The 17,379-nt window shown below is 48.0% G+C and overlaps 1 protein-coding gene across 4 annotated transcripts in view, besides 5 other annotated features; it reads left to right on the forward strand.

Moving 5' to 3' along the window:
* CHST11 (carbohydrate sulfotransferase 11) overlaps nucleotides 1-17,379 on the forward strand; it is a 305,067-nt gene that overhangs the window by 92,894 nt on the left and 194,794 nt on the right. The window lies entirely within an intron of this gene.
* Nucleotides 1,938-1,997: an enhancer, noted in NCBI's record as "active region_6922". NCBI's record gives its function as "activates an Ori minimal core promoter by ATAC-STARR-seq in GM12878 lymphoblastoid cells {active_cell/tissue: GM12878}" and the evidence as "EXISTENCE:reporter gene assay evidence [ECO:0000049][PMID:35858748]".
* Nucleotides 5,477-5,979: an enhancer, noted in NCBI's record as "H3K4me1 hESC enhancer chr12:104949096-104949598 (GRCh37/hg19 assembly coordinates)". NCBI's record gives its function as "activates a minimal SCP1, AML or CMV promoter by ChIP-STARR-seq in naive H9 embryonic stem cells {active_cell/tissue: H9 hESC(naive)}" and the evidence as "EXISTENCE:reporter gene assay evidence [ECO:0000049][PMID:30033119]".
* Nucleotides 7,141-7,975: an enhancer, noted in NCBI's record as "H3K4me1 hESC enhancer chr12:104950760-104951594 (GRCh37/hg19 assembly coordinates)". NCBI's record gives its function as "activates a minimal SCP1, AML or CMV promoter by ChIP-STARR-seq in naive H9 embryonic stem cells {active_cell/tissue: H9 hESC(naive)}" and the evidence as "EXISTENCE:reporter gene assay evidence [ECO:0000049][PMID:30033119]".
* Nucleotides 8,236-8,405: an enhancer, noted in NCBI's record as "experimental_23947 CRE fragment used in MPRA reporter constructs". NCBI's record gives its function as "activates a minimal promoter by MPRAs in K562 erythroleukemia cells, with activity observed for both the introgressed and non-introgressed 12:104951940 variant alleles {active_cell/tissue: K562}" and the evidence as "EXISTENCE:reporter gene assay evidence [ECO:0000049][PMID:34662402]".
* Nucleotides 16,326-16,385: an enhancer, noted in NCBI's record as "active region_6923". NCBI's record gives its function as "activates an Ori minimal core promoter by ATAC-STARR-seq in GM12878 lymphoblastoid cells {active_cell/tissue: GM12878}" and the evidence as "EXISTENCE:reporter gene assay evidence [ECO:0000049][PMID:35858748]".

A 17,379-nucleotide genomic window follows, 5' to 3' on the forward strand; every position in this document is an offset into this window, starting at 1 on the left:
GGCTGCAGTGAGCTGTGATCTCACTATTGCATTCCAGCCTGGGCGACAGAGTGAGACCTCATCTCCAAAAAAAAGATGACTAATTTGGAAGACATGGACCCTGTTTTGAAACGATGACTCACTTCAGCTAGAGGAGAAGCCTGGTGGCACCCAGGTGAAAAGAGGCCACTCATTATTTCTCAGCTGGCTGTAAATTGCACCGGGAGTCAGAATCGATACCTACCTGACCTCTTTGGGCTGTTGGTAAAACTAGAGGCACCCCTTGTGGCTGTGCCGAGTTGATGTCCAGAAGAACACTGGTTGGAGGCGACCGTTCTTTTTAGGCTTTCCAGTCTAGAGCTTACGACCCCCAGTGCAGGAGTAGCTTGGTTCTTTGTTGTCTGATAGTGTTTCCTGGGTCAGCTGGCATTTCCCCCATGTGGTCTGACCTCCTGTGTTATAAAGGCAAAACTACTTTAAGTTAGAGATCAGCATCTGGATATTCAGTCATCAGCCAAATATTTTGATCTTTCTCTGAGCAGAATGGAAAATGTCCTGCTTTGAAAACCTTGCCTTGTTCCTCGAAGGCAGGGGTTGGCAAACTTTGTTTTTAAAGAGCCAAGCAGTAAACTTTGGGTTTTGCAGACCATACAGTCTGTCACAACTTTTCAGTTGTGCAGTTGTAGAGTGAAAGCATCCATAGGCAATAAGTACACAAATGAGTGTGGCTGTCACCCAATAACACTGTTTACAAAAACAAGCAGTGGGAAGGATTTGGCCCACATGCCTTTGTTTGCCAACCATGATTCTAAGGGGTCTTGGATGGAATGGAAACCTCTGTCTTGCCCATATGGGTCCTAATGCATTTTAAAAGTCAGTGTGCTGTTTGGCTAAGAGACACTTCCTCACCTGAAATCACAGTGAAGAGCAAAAAGGGACAGCGAACTCCTTCTTATTCCACTGGTGCTCAAGGGGTAAAAGAGGAAGAAGATGTCGTTGGGCCACTTTATGTAAGTATATATACTAGGGTGGTGCAGGCTTTGAACTTCTCACTCAGTGATGTCCACGTCTTTTGTGTTAGCCGGCTGGCTAAAGTTTAACTTTCCCCTAGGACTTCACTAAATCCTCACGTCTGTAATTTTTTTTTTCCTCTTTCTAATAGCCTGGATAAAGAGGAAAATAAGGTGAGTGCTGATGGTCCGTACTTGAGACACACTACAGCTTATTTCTTAGCACTTTTCAGGCTTTGGGCTATTTCAAAGGCGACCTACTCTGTCATGTTGAAGTGTGGGTTGGGATTCACTTGCATATCCTCCCAGACTGGGGATGGCTCTATTAAGAAAGGAAAGCAGTTTCCAATTTTACAAATGTGACGATTTCCCCAGCAGACTTTCGACAGGAAAAATTAATAGGCAACTGCATGTTGCCTCAATCTATTTTCACATTAAGACCCAGAAGGAGGTGTGGGGTCAAGCTGACACCTCTTAGATCGGCACACCAGGGTGAGGGCCTCCAAACGCTGACAGCATCATTCCACCAGGTAGTGTGCAGGGAAGTTGGCTGGTTTTCAACGTATGTCCCGTGACTGCTTGCTTTTGTAAGCATGTGTTGGCTATAGATGGTTAGAAAGGTCAGCTTCAAGTGACAAAAGCCCTGGCTCAAGTTGCTAGAATCACCCAGTTTCAGTCCCTTTGAGGTCTTGCAAGAAGAAATGAGATAATCGCCCTCCTCCTTTCCGACTTGCGCTGTGCCAGTGTAACTTAGAAGGGCATCCTCTCTGTGAAAAGACTGGATTTACATATTTTGCTAATTACAGCTGTCAGATTCCTCGAAGTGATTTAAGGGTGGGGAGGCCTAACAAGTGTGAAGAGTATTTTTAGCCAAGTTGTGTGGGTTTGATAGCCATTTGGGGACTAGTAATTGAATCTAAAGCTTCATGTGAGGCCGTACGGAAGTGGTGCGAGGTGGAAGGAGACCGAGGTTGGGCGACGTAGGTGTGGGGCAGCTGTGGGGTGATTTGATCCTGGTGCGGGCTGGTGGTCTCTTTGCCTGCTGTGACAGCTGTCAGTCAGCCTGCTTTATGGGGTGTGAAATTGACACCTTCTCTGCTGTCTGGGTGCTGGAAGGGGTACAGTTGGAACTGGAAACTTGATCTGCAGAGCATTCATTTGTTTATTCATTCAACAAGCATTTTTTGAGTAAATTAGAGTTTCTGAAACTTTCTTGTACATACAGGATCACCAGGCTGTCTTGTTAACATGCGGATCCTGTTAGTAGATCTGGGATGGGTTGAGAGTCTGCCTTTCTAACAGGCTTTTGGGTGATGTCGATGCTGCTGGTCCAGGGACCATACCTCTACTCAGAAGGCCTAACACTGTATGCCACTTTGGTGTGACAAGATGAAACACTTTGAGCTTCCTCAGGATCTTCCTTTCCCATTTGCCCAGATGTTCTTCCTCTGGATCTTTTCTGTTTTTTGTATTTTTTGTTTTTTATTTTTCTTTGAGACAGGTCTTACTCTGTCACCCAGGCTGCAGTGCAGTGGCATGATCACAGCTCACTGTAGCCTTGACCTCCTGGGCTCAAGCCATCCTCCCACCTCAGCCTCCTGAGTAGCTGGGACTACAGGCGCACACCACCACACCTGGCTAATTTTTCATTTTTTTGTAGAGATGAGGTCTCACTATATTGCCCAGGCTGGTCTCAAACTCCTGGGCTCAAGTGATCCTCCTACCTTGGCCTACCACAGTGCTAGGATTACAGGTGTGAGCCACCGCGCCCAGACTTCCTCTAGATCTTTACTCGGCTGTCTTCCTTTCATTCCTATCTCAGCAAAAACGTCACCACCTAGAGAAACTTTGTTTTCTCCCATGGCCCAAATCTAAAGTAGCTCCCACTGCCTGTTTTAGCTCTTAGAAGACAGCCTCTGAGATGATCTTGTTTTGTATTTCTCTCTGTCTCTATGAGAAGAGGAGTTCTGCGAGAACAAAGCCCTTGCACTTGTCTGTCTCTGTCCAGTGCTGTTTCTTCCTCCCACCCTTGGCCGAGCCTAGCAGGATGCCTAGCACATAGTAGGTACTCAAATTGTGTTGAGAAGAAGGTCGCAATTCCTATCTCCAAGGGTCCCACTGACTAGAATGAGAGATGGAAAAGTCAGTAACTAGTTATAACTGTGGTGTTGAAAAGCAGTGTGAGAAGGAGTAGACCCCAGGCTGTCTGGGTTCTAATCCATGTAACTCTAAAATCGCTTGTGCCTCAGTTTTCTCATTAAAATGAGGTGAAGTAACAGTACCTTTCTTATACATCTGTTGTGAGGATTAAATCTAATAAATGTAAAGCCTGAGCAAAGTACCTGGTATAGAGTGGACCATCAGGAAATGTTAGTTGTGATGAAGAGGATGATGAAGATGATGAAATGGTGGTGGTGGGGATGGTTATGGTGATAGTTGCAGGGGGAGAGCCTAACTTTTCAGGGAGGGCTTCACATACGAAGTGCACTTTGAGCTGAATTTCCAAAGGCAAGTAGTAATGCCTTAGGGCAGTGTCTTAGTTACCATTGCTGTTTTATTAGTCTGATCTTACACTGCTATAAAGAACTACCTGAGACTGGGTAATTTATGAAACAAAGAGGTTTAATTGACCTACAGTTCCACAAGCTGTATAGGAAGCATGGCTGGGAGGCCTCAGGGAACTTACAATCATGGCAGAAGGCGAAGGGGAAGCAAGCAAATCTTCACATGGTGTCAGCGAGAGAGAGAGAGAGAGAGAGAGAGAGAGAGAGTGAGAACTAGGAGGGAAGTGCCACACCCTTAAACCATCAGATCTTGAGAGAACTCACTATCATGAGAACAGCATGGGGGGAAATCTGCCCCCATGATCCAATCACCTTCCAATGTTAGGTTCGTCCCCCAGCATTGCGAATTACAATTCAGCATGAGATTTGGATGGGACACAGAGCCAAACCATATCAGCTGCATAACAAATTGTCACAAATCTGGCAGCTTAAAACAACACACGTTTATTATATCACAGTTTTTTTGGGTCAGGAACATGAGCACAACTTAGATGGGCCCTTTGCCTTAGGGTCTCTCTCTGGCCTCAGTGAAGGTATCAGCCAGGGCTGGGGTCTCATCAGAAGGCTTGACTGGGGAAGGATCCACTTCCAAGCTCACATGATTGCTGGCAGGATTTGATTCTTGCCATGTTGGTGTCTCTGGTCAGCTCACAACAAGGCAGCTTACTTCATCAAAGCCATCGAGAGAGTGATGGCACAAGGGACGTTATAATCTTATATAATGTAATCATGGAAGCAATATGTCCTCACCTTTGCTGTATTCTATTATTTAGAAGCAAGTTAGGCTAGCTTATGCTCAAGGGGGAAGGGGCATTACACAGGCTGTGAATACCAGGATTTGGGGGTTACTGGGGTTGTCTTAGAATCTTTCCACCATAGATAACAAGAGGGGACCGAGGGTTTGACAGGAGGGGCAATCCAGGCAGAGGGAACAGCATGTGCAAGGGCCAAGAGACAGGGGGCACCATGTCCTAGTGAGGAAATGCCCATCTTGATGGGCCTGGCTGACCAGTGACTGGCAAAGTGTTTGAAATGAGGGTAAGACAGGGAGCAAGGATGCATGGGCTCTGGTGCTGGTATTACTGCTCCTGGTGATGATTCAGGGTATGTTCCTTGCTCTGGGCTTCCATTTCCCCAGCTGCGTAAAGCAAGAGGCATGTCCTGGATCAGGCATTTTCACCCTGGGTACCAGGGAAGCTGGGGCCCCACAGAGAAATCTCAGGGACTGCTGGGGAGGATGGAGGAGGAGTGAGCATCCCCTGCCTCTTTGCCAGAGCAGCTCTGCTTCGATCTGTGCAATACTGAGATTTCTGTATATGATTTTCTTTCTTTCAACAGAGGCTTCCATGACTTAAAAACAGGTGAAAATGCCAGCACTAGCTGCCCTCAGAGAGCCATCTTATGCTGACCGCATGTGGTTCTCTTATGGTTCCTATGGGCTTGAGCCAGGACCAAAACCTAAGACCCTGAGCCAGCCAACCAGTGATATTGCTTTCCCCATCCAGAATGAGGAAAAAGGGGGACTTGAGGCTGTACCGGGGTTGGTGGGGAGGTATGTTACTGAGTTACTGGAAAATCCAGTTTCCGAGCTTGTGATCTCAACTATTTCATTCATTCACTCACTCAGTTGTTCATTTGTTCTTTTACTCACTCAATGCTGTGTTGGCAAATGGCAGTCAGTGTTAACGTGGGGCTTTATTAAGTCCACCTCCAAAATGTTTTGTCAATGCCAAGCTTGTGAAATAAGAAACTCTGATTCTAGCCACATCAGGGAGGCAGGTAGCAGTCGAGGTTGTGCACACCTTGTGGCTTGCTCTCTAGAGAAAGGGCACCATGTCAGAGGCCATGTCTCTATTCTCTGGTGGAACCCATGGAAAAGAGTATCTGTAGGAATGGTGGGCAGAATGGGGAGTGGAGATGAGTAGGGTAAGGAAGAGTTGACCCATAGAAGGGGAAATATATTTTTGTAATAGGGTTTTTACTTTTTAGATTTGTGGGTTAAATTTCTGTAATCTGGAGTGACCTGAGAAGATACTTCATTCGTCTTCTAGACAGGAGGCACACACCTTTCCTTTTGCCTCTTTCCCCATCATTTCCTGTCTTCTCTGCATATTTTTAATTTTATAGAAGACACTGTTCTGTGTAGGACTCAGAGAAACAGCTGGTTCTCTCTGGTTTGGGAACTAATTGCCACTCCCTAGCTGTGGGATCTTGGACAAGTGGCCCAACCACCCTGAACTCAGGGGTCCAGGATGGGGGTTGGGCCCCACAATTTCTAAGCTCCTCATGGCCATGCCTGGGAGGCTGGGTTCTGCCAGACTGCTGTGTCCGGAAGCATTAAAATTCATTGTCTTCCCTGGAGCCAACTCTAGGCTCCATTAAACAGCTTGTCCCTGAGGCAGCTGGAGCTGGCAAGGGGCCTGTTCTTAAAAGCAACAGGTTGTGTGTTGGCAGCCGCACAAAGGCAGCCCTGGGGGCGTCCAGCCCCTGCTGCTCTCCGGGCAGGGAGTCCAGGTGGATGAGAAAGGAAGGTGTCTGTCCTCCGGGAAGGAAGGGAGAGGGATTACCATCAGGTGGTGGGAGGGGCAGCTCTCCTGAATCAGACCCTGGAACACTTGACCGAGGCAGCTCCACATTTTGGGGTCTCAGTGGTACAGGTGTGGAGCACATGCAGGGATGAGCTTTGGAGGGACCAGAAAGACCCCCCTCCGCTGGAAAGACAAGGCACAGGAATAGCAGCAGCTGATGCTTGTTTATTTTTTTATTCTGTATAAGTTAGTTACATGTATTATCTCTAACATCTAAGATGGTGTGGGGCCCTGTGGGACCCCATTTTACAGAGGAGAAACTGAGGCTCTGAGACCTCAGGAGACTTATTCTAGGTGGTTCAGCTGGCTCCAAAGCCCCCCTTTTCCCAGCTAAGAGATTATATGAGGGCTACAGGAAGAGGATCCCTGTGATCCTGGAGTTTGGCAGGGTGGGTATATTAGGTTCCCAGGGCTGCCATACAAATTCTCATTATCATAAAGTGGGTTGCTTGAAACAGACATTTATCCTCTCATGGTTCTGGAGGCTCGAAGTCTGAGATGAAGGCTTGGTTCCTTCTGGAGGCTCTGAAGAAGAATCTTTCCCATGTCTCTCTCCTGGCTTCTGTGGTCGTTGGCAATCCTTGGTGTTCCCTGGCCCGTAGACACGTCTCTCCAGGCTCTGCCTCTATCCTCACCTGACATTCTGCCCTGTGTGTTCTGTCTTCACACTGTCTTCCTTCCATGTGTGTCTCTGTATTCAGATTTCCCTCTTCTTGGGCTGGGTGCGGTGGCTCACGCCTGTAATCCCAGCACTTTGGGAGGCCAAGGTGGGCGGATCACCTGAGGTCAGGAGTTCGAGACCAGCCTGGCCAACATGGTGAAACCCTGTCTCTACCAAAAATACAAAAATTAGCCAGGTGTGGTGTCATGCACCTGTAGTCCCAGCTACTCAGGAGGCTGAAGCAGGAGAATCGCTTGAACCCAGGAGGTGGAGGCTACAGTGAGCTAAGATTGCACCATTGCGCTCCAGCCTGGGCAACAGAGCAAGACTCTGTCTCAAAAAAAAAAAAAAAAAAAGATTTCCCTCTTCTTGTAAGGACACCAGTCATTGGATATTGGATTAGGGCTCACACTACTCCAGTATGACCTTATCTTAACTTGATGACATTTGCAGAGACCCTGTTTCCAAATAAGGTCACATTCATAGGTACTGGTTGGTTAGGACCTGGACATTTCTTTTTCGGGGACAAAATTCAACCCACAACAGTGGGGATGTCTGTAAGGCGGGAATGTGCAGGGGCGGAGTTGGGCTGAAGGGAAGTGAACTCACTTCTGCCTCTTTCTGGTTCTCTGGGCTGTGCACCTGGGAACAGGGCTCCTTCACCGCTCATCACCAGCTGGGAACCTGGTTGCTGGAGAGGCCAGGTCATGAGGGGCTTATAGGCCTTGGTAAAGGCTTTGGACCTGATCCTGGACTAGGCAGAGCCATTGAAGGAGCTGAAGTGGAGGTGTGTATGGTCAGAGTGCATGGTGAGCATTGGGAGGGGGATGCACCGGGCGGGGACAGGAGAAGGGGGGCACCGGCCTGGGTCTCAGATAATGACGGCCCAGGGGAGAGGAGCAGGGCCTGAAGCCCAGAGGGGAGAGGAGGGCGGCTGGACAGGAATCCAGGTGGTCAGGTGGGCAGGCCTTGCTCTCAAAGGGAGAGGGCGGGAGAGGAGGGAACATTTGTTGAGTGAATTGAAGGAGTCTGTAGCGAAGGAGGGTGGATTGTCCCTAGGAGGAGCAAGAGCATGGTGGGAGGGAAGGAAGTGGGAAGAGAGGCGAGGAAACCAGCTCACTCCATCTCACTGACCGCGGATTCTTCTCCCAGGGAAATGTGGGAACGAAATTAATCCTGAAGCTTCCCCAGGTTTCTGTGATTCTCAACCAGTGTGGGCTGGAGCAATCAGAGAAGCCTTCGTGGGGGTGTAGGTCTGACTTGGGGGAAGGAAGTATAGAGGCAGGAAAGCAGGGGATGCATTTCAGGGGTGGGGACAACCTGTACAGAGGCCCAGGGCTGAAGCTGAGTGCAGTTCCACCCAGGGCCAGAGAGGACCAGCTCTGCTGTGCGGAGAGGACCTTTTCCAGCCGCAGCAGCAGCTTCTGTCCTCCAGCCGTGGAGATGTGCAGTTACTCCCCCTCATCAATATTTCAGCCTTGACTTTCACAAAGCACCCCCTCTGCCTCTTTGCCTCCCCCAGCAGCCTGGGTGAATAAAGGGAAGAGCTGACGCTGTCCCTGCTGGTGGGCATGCCAGGGCCAGAGCGGGACCTGTCGAAGCCTTCGCACCTGTCTGTGACTTGAGGTAGATGAGACTTCTTGAAACCGAGCCCCTAGCCCTCTGCCTGGCTGTCTCCTAGGCCCCTTCTCTGTACCTGTCTTTATGATTTGTTTTAAGGAAAAGCTGGGGAGGGAGCTCGAAGTCTCCTTATTCTCTGAATGATGTTCATCTGAATTGTACCAATTCCTGCAAATTGGAGGCCCCCATTTCTGTACCCTCTCCGCCCCTCCCCTCCCAAAGTGTACAGAATTAATTCTGTTGACTATTGTCATTCTCTCTGTTCAGCAGAAATTCCCCCCCCCGCCCCCCCGAGACAGGTTCTCACTCTTGTCCCCCAGGCTGCAGTGCAGTGGCGCGATCTTGGGCCACTGCAACCTCCACCTCCTGGGTTCAAGCAATTCTCCTGCCTTAGCCTCCCAAGTAACTGGGACTTCAGGTGTGTGCCACCACGCCCAGCTAATTTTGTATTTTTTGGTAGAGACAGGGTTTCAACATGTTGCCAAGGCTGGTCTTGAACTCCTGACCTCAAGTGATCTGCCCACGTTGGCCTCCCAAGGTGCTGGGATTACAGGCTTGAGTCACCGCACCTGGCCTAGAAATTTTTAATTCTAAGTCCTCGGGCACCAGGAGCATCTCTAATAGAGACTTTTCAAAAATGATTTTAGGTTTCTATGTGGGTGACTGCTTCCTAAGCAGGTGAGTAACAAACCCATCTTAATAGCACAGCTGCATTCTCCATTGGAGGTGGGTGCAATCTGCTTCTGGACGGTAGGCTTCTGAGGCAGGAGTGTGTCTTACAAGGTTGTGTTCCCACCGAGAGGGAGGAGCTGTGGTTCCCCAGTATCAATCAGTGGGGTGGGAACAGGGACGGTGTTGTCTTTTCTGTGCTTCCAGAACACCATGGGACTCTCCTAGCACTTCTGGGCTTGGCTACCTCTCTAGGTATCGCCTCTCTAAGCTGTAAACTCAAGGACAGGGATAGTATTTTGTTTTTGTTTTTCAGTTGCTGTATCCCCAGAGCCTAGCACAGTACTTGGCATGTAGTAAATGTTCAACAAATTAATTCATCCATTCACTTCTCAAGTACTTACTGAGCACCTACTATGTGCCAGCCTTCATTCCAGGACTAAGGAGATGGCATTAAAGTAAACAAAGTCCCTCCCTTCATGGAGCCTCCATTCTGGTGGGGAAGACAGACTGTCAACAAGTGAACACGGCTGGGCGCGGTGGCCCATGCCTGTAATCCCAGCACTTTGGGAGGCCAAGGCAGGTGAATCACCTAAGGTCAGGAGTTCGAGACCAGCCTGACCAACATGGTAAAACCCCCTCTCTACTAAAAATACAAAAATTAGCCGGGCATGGTGGTGGGCGCCTGTAATCCCAGCTACTCTGGAGGCTGAAGTGGGAGAATCGCTTGAACCTGGGAGGCAGAGGTTGCAGTGAGCCAAGATCATATCATTGCACTCCAGCCTGGGCAACAAGAGTGGAACTCCATCTCAAAAAAATAAAATAAATAAAATAAAATAAAATAAACACATGCATGGTAAATAACATAATTTGGGGTAATGAAGAATGCCATTTAAGCAGGGCTAGGAAATGGAGTGATGAAGTGGGAAAGCTATAGGTTGGTGCAAAAGTAATTGTGGTTTTTGCCATTTTAAAAGTAGTGGAGAAAACAGTAATTACTTTTGCACCAACCTAATATTTTGGAAGGTACCGTTGAGGAAGTCTTCCCTGAAGGGTGGCTTTTGAGCAGAGACTGAAGGGATGGGAAGGGTGAGCCATGGGAATTTCTAAGGGAAGAGTGTTTGTGGCAGAGGGAATACCAAGGACAAAGGCTCAGAGTTGGGGATGAGCTAGGCATGTTAGAGGAATGATGAGGCTGGATTGGGTGGGAGAGGCAGGCAAGGGTTAGATTACATAGGGTCTTAATAGTCAAGGTTGGGTGTTTGATTGATTATAATCCAGGTTAGTATTGACCAGATGCACATGAAAGGCCTGCAGGAAACCAAATTAGTATTGAAAAAAGATAAGGCAGTTGTATGAATATGGTTCTGTTCAACCCTGTTTGCAGTTTACCTTCTGCTCATAGATAGAGAGGCACTGCTTTGTAGTTAATCTAAGAATTCAACATGGCAGAGGAGTGGGAAGGTTTGGTTGAGCCATGGGGGGGTTCATGGTACCTTCTAGGAATTCAGTCTTTGATGGGGTGAATTTGATGTGTGCTATTCAAACTCAAAAACATGGATCAGCACCGGGAAGCATCTTGAGATAGGGGTGGGAAGAGACGGTCATACCTCAGCAGGCAGCATTAGTACTTTATGGTACTTTATAATTGGGCAGCAGAAAAGGCACAAGACTTGAATTTGAAAGATAAGGTTTCTAGTTCCAGTTCCTCCACTTATGGAGTGGTCTTGGATTTGTCATTTAACCTCTACAAGCTTAGTTTCTGCAGGTGATGTCCTTGTTCTGCTTTTCCATAGTGAATCTGAAAACCCTTTGCAAACTGTTGCTGCTACATCCTCCATTATAAACCCTTCTATTAGACTGTGAGCTCCTTGAGTATGGGGGCTGCATTTCACGCATTCTGGGTCTCTTGGAATTAGCAGAATGCCAAGGTGCTCACTGGATTTGCTGTGAATCGAATTCTGCTGTGACATTGCTGTGGTCAGCCATGTCTTCCGGGGACAGAGTCTGCAACAGAAGTGTCACATAACCTGGGAGAAGAGTGCTCAAATTGGAGCTGAAATTCTAGCTCAGTGACTTAGAGGGGCTTGGCTTAGACTAGTCACTTAACTTCCTTATGGTACTTTTTCCCATCTGCGAGATGAGTAAGATAATTTTACCAAACTCATGTGCTATTTGTGAGTGTCAGATGAAGAAACATGAGTGTATTAGGTTATAGGACTGGCTGCTATTCCATGGCAACCAGATAGCAATGGCTTTCAGAAGATGGGAGTTCATCTCTCACTAAACAGTCCTGACATGGCCTGATGTGGCGACGCCATGGCATCAGAAGCCCAGACCCCTCCCATCTTGTTGTTCTGCCCCCACACTGAGGGTTGACCTTATCCATGTAGCCCAGGATGGCTCTCCACTACATTCTTATCCCTTGCAGGGAAAGGGGGAACAGTGACAAAGGGTGTCTTCATAATCCCATTGGCCAGAACTGGGCCATGTGGTGTACTTCTTGTTCAAAGGGGTTTTTAGCTGGTCTTTATTCTAGGTACCAGCGTGCCTGACTCAGTTTCTAACACTATGAAAGAAGGCAAGACCAGGTTTTGGGGAACAAGTGAAGTCTCTGCCACAGCAAAATAAAAGATAATTCTGAATTTTGAAGTGGAATGATTCAGGGCTCACCCACAGCTTGAATTGGAAATGATTTGATTCTGCTGGAGTCTAATGGAAAACAACGCCCTGTATCTTCTGTATTATTATTGTCATTGAATGCTTGCTTGGTGCCAGCCACTGCGCTAAGGGTTTCATAGGTGCTATTTCTGGTTAATCCTCACAACGGTCTTACTGCGTAGGTCCCATTATTAGGTCCATTTTTTTTTTTTTTTTGAGACAGAGTCTCACTCAGTCGCCAGGCTGGAGTGCAGTGGTGTGATCTCGGCTCACTGCAACCTCTGCCTCCCGGATTCAAGCGATTCTCCTGCCTCAGCCTCCGGAGTAGCTGGGATTAGGGAGACTGAGGCTTAGGGAAGTCAGAGGAGGGATTGGAACTTGGGAATGCTGGACTCCAGAGCTCATACCCTCAATAGCTCCTACTGCCCAGTCTCCTGGTTCCAATCTGGTGTTTCTGCTCTGGATATATCTAGTTTTTCTGCCCCCACCTTCCTGGCTGGGCCTCGTTTCCAGAAATGCCACTGACATGGAGGGGACACTAGTGCTCTGGTTGGTGTTGTTCCTAGCAGCACTGTCATCCACCCGAAATGGAATTGATTCGCAGAAATACGGGTCACCACGGAGGAGCCTGCTCATGCTGGTAGGAGAGGGCTTAGGTCCCACAGAGGTCAAGTGGGCAGGGTTAGGAAAACCAGCTCTAGGTGGACAGATATGATTTGGGAATTACCATTTCGAAGGGATTTAGACTTCCTACTGCCTTTGAGGGTCACCTGCAGCTCTGTAAACACAGAGAAGATGAGGCCATCTTCCCCCTGCACCTGAGTTACTCTGGTAGGAAAAAGCGCAGAGCCCGTAATAGTGGTCAGAGCCTTTGCTTGAGCCTTCCAGAACCTTCCCTGGCCCAGAGCAAAACTCAAAAGTCTCCTCAGGCTAAAGTGACTGCACTTTGTCCTGTTGGCAAATTGGTTGGTTTAGTGTGTTTAGAATTCAGCACCCATTTCTCAATGATATCAAAATCATTATCCAACGAAAGGTGATCGTATCCTGGTTTAGTTGCAAGATTTTAGAGCTCAAGGGGGCTTAGGCATTATTAATCCAATCCTTATCTCACAGAGGACCAGAAAGCCTGCCTGCCGGGCCTGCCCAGGGTCCGGTAGCTACGTTGAGTTAGGGCTGAGTCTTTGGGGGCCCTACCTGAGCATGAGGGACAGGACTTTGTGAATTCTCATATAGGCAACAGAGGTGGCAATTCATGACGACTGGACATTTGTCTGCCTCTTGGCACCTTCTCAAAGCACATAATGGGTTAAAGGGGCATTCTTGATTCTCCACTGTGTTGGCTTACCATTTTGGTGCCTCAGTTTCCCCATCTGTGAAATGGGTATGGTAGTAACAGAACTCACCTCATAGAGGGTTGTTGTGAAGTGGTTTTTTTTGTTGTTGTTGTTTGTTTGTTTGTTTGTTTTAGATGTAGTCTTGCTCTGTTGCCAAGGCTGGAGTGCAGTGGCATGATCTTGGCTCACTCAACCTCCGTCCCCCCGGGTTCAAGTGATTCTCGTGTCTCAGCCTCCCGAGTAGCTGGGATTACAGGCGCTCACTACCAAGCCTGACTAATTTTTGTATTTTCAGTAGAGATGGTTTTGCCTGTTGGCCAGGCTGGTCTCGAACTCCTGACCTCAAGTGATCCGCCTGCCTCGGCCTCCCTAAGTGCTGGGATTACAGGTGTGAGCCACTGTGCTCGGCCATTGTTGAGCTGATGGTGTCTGCTGTGCTTAGACCGTGTCCAGCATGAGGGAAACACTCAAAGCAGTCGTTGTGATCACTTCCATAGTAGCCTTTTTCACTCTCGCTCAAGGGGCTGTATGCTCCTAAGAAAGCTTGGGGATCTTTGTCTCATTCATCTTTGTATTTCCTAGGTCACATCATCCATCAGCTTAAAAACTTTTTTGTTTACCTTGACTATCTCCAGTGTGCCATGCATGAATTCTTCAACAGTCATAATAGCCTTTTCATCCATAAATGTAATTTTAGCTTGTTTAATAGCCTCGCAGAACATGACCTTTTCCATGATAAATTGGCAGGAAATAAACCCATCCTTCTTCCATGGGGTAGACTGTTGAGATGGTGGGGGTTGGTGTTCTTGTTCTGGATCTGGTGGGAGTGGTTGTGGATGTTTGCTCTTGGTGGTTTTCAGCGCACATGTAAGGGGCTTTCTGGGGTTGTATGGTTCGGGAGGGGTTTGGAGTAGGCTCTGCTTGGCCCTGGAATGGGTCAGGTGGGGAGCGTTTCTCAGTTTCTTATAGGTGCTCAGTTGTCATTTGACTCCACAGCCTGCTCTTAGTTACCCTCTGTGTAAGTGGTTCTGGGGTCTGGCACTACTAAGGTGTGGCTGGAATATGTTCCTGGGACAGTTATTTGAGATCTACGTGGAGACACCCAGGAGCATCGAGGATCAGGTAGACTCAGTCTCTGCCCCTAGGAGCTCTAACAAAACCCTGTTTCCCCCTAGTCTTCCCCTTTTCTGCAGCTCCAAGGATGAGCACCCCCCAGAGTGGGCTGAGACCTGAGCTTCCCAGGTGGGTCTCCTCGGTGTGTCTTCATAGTTCAGCAAACACCTGATGTTTCCCTGTGGGGACCAGCCCACTGGGGCATTACAGAAGCCCAGACACACTCCAGAGTCCAAACACTTGGGTGTAGATCCCACTTTGCCACTCTGTGGCTCCCAGTCTGGGACAGTGCGGGAGGCACATGTGGAATAAATCTGTGTTGGACGAATGACAATTAGTGTGTTGCCTTGGGCAAGTCATCTCATCTCTCAATCCCTCAGCTTCTTATCTCTAAAGTAGAGATCATAGTGTCCACCTCATGGTGCTCTTGAGAGAATTAAATGAGATAGTGCCTCTGAAGCTGGAACCACAGTGCTCAGGGTTTAGCGGGTCTGCAAACAATGTAACTGTTGGTGTTATGATATTATTCCTGTGGCCCCTCACTGCAAGGCTCTTGGAGCCTAGTTCCCTCCCAATATTAAGCCTTGTTAAATCTTGCCTCTTTTTTCCCCAAGTCTGCCTAAGGATAGAATTGTCCAAGATGCACATCGGTGATCCTTTGCCAATGTATTTGTATTCGTACATTTTCATACTGCTATCAAGAAATACCCGAGACTGGGTAATTGATAAAGAAAATGAGATTTAATGGACTCACAGTTCCACATGGCTGGGGAGGCCTCACAATGATGGTGGAAGGTGAAGGAGGAGCAAAGGCACATCTTACATGGTGGCAGGCAAGAGAGTGTGTGCAGGGGAACTGCCCTTTATGAAACCATGAGATCTCTTGAGATTTACTCACTATCATGAGAACAGCACAGGAAAAACCCACCCCCTTGATTCAATTACATCCCACCAGGTCCTTCTTGTGACATGTGGGGATTATGGGAGCTACAATTCAAGATGAGATTTGGGTGGGGACACAGCCAAACCACATCAGTATTATTTTCCCCCCAATAAGATAATTTGCCATTCACATCTAGGGTGACTCCAGTGGTGGGGACTCAAGGGCTCCCTGGTGGCGAATGGTGGTAGGTGGAGAAACCAGCTGTATCTACCTCTGAATTCCTATCCTGGAAGGGACTCTTGGGACCACCTGGGCAGCCTCCATGTTTTCTAGGATTTTTTTTTTTTTTTTTTTTTTTTTGGAGACAGTGTCTCATTCTGTTGCTCAGGCTGGAGTGCAGTGGCATGATCTTGGCTCACTGTAACCTCCACCTCCCAGGTTCAAGCGATTCTCCTGCCTCAGCCTCCCGAGTAGCTGGGACTACAGGTACGTGCCACCATGCTGGGCTAATTTCTGTATTTTTAGTAGAGGCGGGGTTTCACCATGTTGGCCAGGCTGGTCTCGAACTCCTGACCTCAAGTGATCCACCTGCCTCGGCCTCCCAAAGTGCTGGGATTACAGGCATAAACCACTGTGCCTGGCCTCTAGGACTTTTGTAAATTGTCTACCTGAGTATTAACCCATGGCTCAGGAGGCCCCCAGCACTAAGACGCTCTATCACCAGTATTTGAGGAGTCTTCAGGCAGCGGGGCAGGGAGTAAGAGACAGAACAAATGCTCCAGGATGAGGAGACCCAGGGGATTTGTGCGGCTCCGGCATCGCCAGCATAGTTGTTAGGAAACCTGGGCTAATTAGGGTGCTCTGTTGTTCTTCTCAGCAGGCCCTTGAAATTGGGCAGACTTCTGGCTCACCTCTTAGAGAGAAAGGAACACTGTGTACCACTTTCTCCCTGTGTTTGCCACAGGGAAATGGCTATGGTTGCTGAGAAGTTGGGACAGAACCTGCAGGCGTGTGCTTACCACGTTTCTTGGGAGAGCAGGGATGGTCTGTGTGGCAGCCACATTCTCACTCCTTTGTGCTTCCCCTTTTGCCTCCATTCCTAGGCCTGTGAATGTTCTAGATTCTCTGGACACACTCAGCCTTCTGGAGTATGTCCAGGCAGCATGACTGTGGCATGCAAAAAACAAGGGCTTGGAAGCCATTCTCTGGCCGTGTGATGTTCATGAGAGTTAACCTGATGACTCTGTGCCTCAGTGTCACTGCTCTAATGGGAATCTAGAATATTCTTCACTGAGAGGTTTTGAGGCTTTATGGTCCCCCATAAATTACTTCTTTCTCTGTTCTTTCCCCTAAGCCCTATCTCAAAGTCTATTCCAGTCCTTATTGTCACTTGTGTGAAATTCTCCTTTCTCTGCTCTTTCTTCTAAATTGCATCTAGCGGTTGGGGTGGGGGGGCGGTCTGCCTACAAAATGAAAGCCACTCATAATGGAAATAATTTTAGACTCACACAGGAGTTACTGTGACTCAACAGCTGAACAAAAACGCTTGGTTTCTCATGCTGGGAGATAGTCCTCCATCCCCACAGGTCCTGGCAGAGGAGCAACTTTGTGACTTTCACCTGAGGACCTGTGGGGTGTGCTCTCAGGGATTGTGAGGGTGGGTTCTGGAGGGATCTTCTCAACACAGACAGCCTTTTTCCTCTCTTTGCAGCAGAGGGACTCCTTTGAACCCATGAGTGTGGCCTTTATAACTCAATGCTCAGAATGTTTGAAAGAATAGGTCTTTAGAAAGTCGAAATTACCCTCTGTTCGGGAAATTACAAACACCTACAGGTACATACACCTCCCATGTTCCCCTAGTGTGAGTACGGCAGACATCACTAATGGATCCCAGCACCTTTCTCTGTGCTGAACCTGAATGGAACCTTAGAATCTTTTCCCCATAGTGCCTGAGCCTGAGAAAATATATACTTTTATAGTTATAGAAATTGAGACCCAGAGACTTAAGTATCTAGTGTAAGGCAGTCTTCTTGTAAGGTGAATGAATATAAATATATATACACACACATGTATATGTAAATTTTATGTTGGCAAGTTTTGCAAATTGTTCCTGATGGAACACCTCCCGCCCAATACATTTAAATCTGAGGTTCTTTATCAGGACCAATTTGCAAAACTTGTTGCTGTCTCTAAAGAATGGAGTACACTATCACACTGACAAAGTAGTGTATCCCTTACGCTTGCCAGTTTGAGCTGCAGGAATATTTGGGAAAATGAGCTGCATGTGTCAGATGGGC

The sequence above is a fragment of the Homo sapiens genome, chromosome 12 (assembly GCF_000001405.40).
Source record: "Homo sapiens chromosome 12, GRCh38.p14 Primary Assembly".
NCBI lineage: Eukaryota > Metazoa > Chordata > Mammalia > Primates > Hominidae > Homo > Homo sapiens.